This window comes from Homo sapiens, chromosome 20, assembly GCF_000001405.40.
Source record: "Homo sapiens chromosome 20, GRCh38.p14 Primary Assembly".
In the NCBI taxonomy this organism is placed as follows: domain Eukaryota; kingdom Metazoa; phylum Chordata; class Mammalia; order Primates; family Hominidae; genus Homo; species Homo sapiens.
In genome coordinates this window covers 43726164-43728304 of record NC_000020.11, presented here as the reverse complement: position 1 = coordinate 43728304, position 2141 = coordinate 43726164, and the positions used below count along the sequence as shown (strand labels likewise).

The 2141-nt window shown below is 45.8% G+C and overlaps 1 protein-coding gene across 3 annotated transcripts; it reads left to right on the top strand.

Moving 5' to 3' along the window:
- Positions 1 to 1302: 1302 nt before the first annotated feature.
- GTSF1L (gametocyte specific factor 1 like) lies at positions 1303 to 2141 on the top strand. 3 transcript variants are annotated; one of them, XM_005260298.5, is made up of 2 exons: positions 1303 to 1847; positions 1983 to 2141. In XM_005260298.5, exons 1-2 carry the CDS (start codon positions 1611 to 1613, stop codon positions 2055 to 2057), a joined length of 312 nt encoding a protein of 103 aa, XP_005260355.1. In that variant the 5' UTR covers positions 1303 to 1610; the 3' UTR covers positions 2058 to 2141. The 3 variants fall into 3 exon arrangements, with proteins under 3 accessions (XP_005260355.1, NP_001008901.1, NP_789761.1); NM_001008901.2 differs by having other exon boundaries at positions 1303 to 1889; positions 1965 to 2141; NM_176791.4 differs by having other exon boundaries at positions 1303 to 2141.

Below are 2141 nucleotides of genomic sequence, written 5' to 3'. Positions count from 1 at the left end.
AGGATGGGTGAGCTTTTTCTATAATGGGCCAGACAGAAAACATTAGAGGTTTCTAGGTCATCTGGATTCTGTTGCAACTACTCAAATCTAGCTCAAAAGCAGCCAATGGACAATATATAAACAAATGGGTGTGGCTGTGCTTCAATAAAACTTTATTTACAAAAGCAGATAGCCATCTGGATTTGAATCATGGGCCCATAGTTTGTTGACACATGATCTAGAATAACAAATCCTTGAAGATAGTCAAGGCTTTTGGGGGGAAAACTAATAACAAGCAGAGACTTGCTCTATCAGATATCAGCACATAAAGCTACAAAAATTATTTGGAATTGCATTATATTTATGTATCAATTTAGGATGACTATGTAATTTATGTAATTTAGTTTACAGAGAATATTCATTTATGATTTTGAGTCTTCCTATTCAGGAATATGGTATTTCTCTACTGTCACTCAGATCTTGAGAAACAATTTAACAGGGTGGGGGGTGGGAAGGAGCTCCAGGCCAATTTTTAGAAGAAATCCTACCTAACACCAGACATGTAAATAGAATGTCAGAGGACCAAAACCACTAACACCCTGAGATATGTGTCAATTGCGTCCATTCAGACTTTGGTCCAGTTCTGTGAGGGACAACGGCAGGGTCGACCTAAGATGGGGCGTTTTATAGGAAATGTTTCCCATGTTAAGCTGAACACCAAAAGGCTTCACCTTCTGCGATATATGAATAGATTTAAACCCTTCCCCCACACCCAAGGAGACTAGGCTGCTGTGGGCCTCAGCAGAGCAGAAGGGTAAAGAAAGACGGCCCTGAGAATCACATCCAAAAACCAGCCCTGGCAAAGCGCAGGGGCTCACACCTATCATCCCAGCACTTTGGGGGGCTGAGGCGGGTGGATCACCTGAGGTCAGGAGTTCAAGACCAGCCTGGCCAACATGGTGAAACCCGTCTCTACTAAAAATACAAAAAATTAGCCGGGCATGATGGCAGGTGCCTGTAATCCCAGCTACTCGGGAGCCTGAGGCAGGAGAATCACTTGAACCTGGGAGGCGGAGATTGCAGTGGGCCAAGATCGCACCACTGTACTCCAGCCTGGCAACAGAGCGAGACTCTGTCTCAAATAAAACAAAAACAAAAACAAAAAACAAATACGTACAGTTAAAAGACTTAAGTCACAACATACATCCATGAGCAATTTTAGATGGCAGCATTCCCAAAGCCATCCACCCCTCCCAAGCAGTGCACAATAGCCTCTTCCTGATGACTTAGGCTGCCCATTGTGACCACCGGTGACTGCAGCTTGACATCATAGTATATCCGTGAGTCAAGCGGCTGTGGGTTTTTGGCTCTTGCATCTGCTATAGTTCTGTCTCGGGTGCCATTTGCTAACTCTGTTCTCTGTGTAGCTGCTTTTGGCAGCTCCTCATCTCTCTTCTAATCCACCACTCACAGTCCTAGAGAACAGACCACAAGTTAAGACCGTCACCTACAGAATCCCAAGGGCCAAAACTGGGCAGAGGACAACTCCATCCTTCTTACAAAAGGGCTTCTCCACAAGAAGCATTTCCGTTAGACTCTAGCAGTGAGATACCCTGCTTCAAGAATTTCTCATGGAGCCAGAAGCCTTTGAAATTTGCCCTTATGATCCTCACCACCGAATCCCACTCAGCAGATTCCAGTACCACCTGGCATCGTGCAGGAGAAAGAACCCCAAGAAAGCCAAAAAGATGGCCACCTGCAAATACAACGCCTGCCACGTGGTCCCCATCAAAAATCTGGAGGAACATGAGGCTGTTTGTGTCAACAGGAGCGCTGTGGAAGAAGAGGACACCGAGAACCCTCTGAAAGTCAGTCCTCCTAGTTCAGAGCAGAACGATGACACCCAGCAGGTCTCACCCTGCCTTCCCAGCCCCGATATCTGGAATGTCGATGGCGCTAATTGCCAGCATGTGTTTGTCCTTAAGACTTTTTTTCCTCAAAAGGTTGTTTGTGAAAATGACACGAAAGAGTCAGCAAGAGAGACCAGTCCCCAGAAGATCCTCAGACCAGGACAGTAAACTGCCAGCTGAGGAAGGAGCACACGCCTCATCAATGCATGGAAGAACGTGCAATGCATCAGAATAAAAGACATGCAAAGTAAA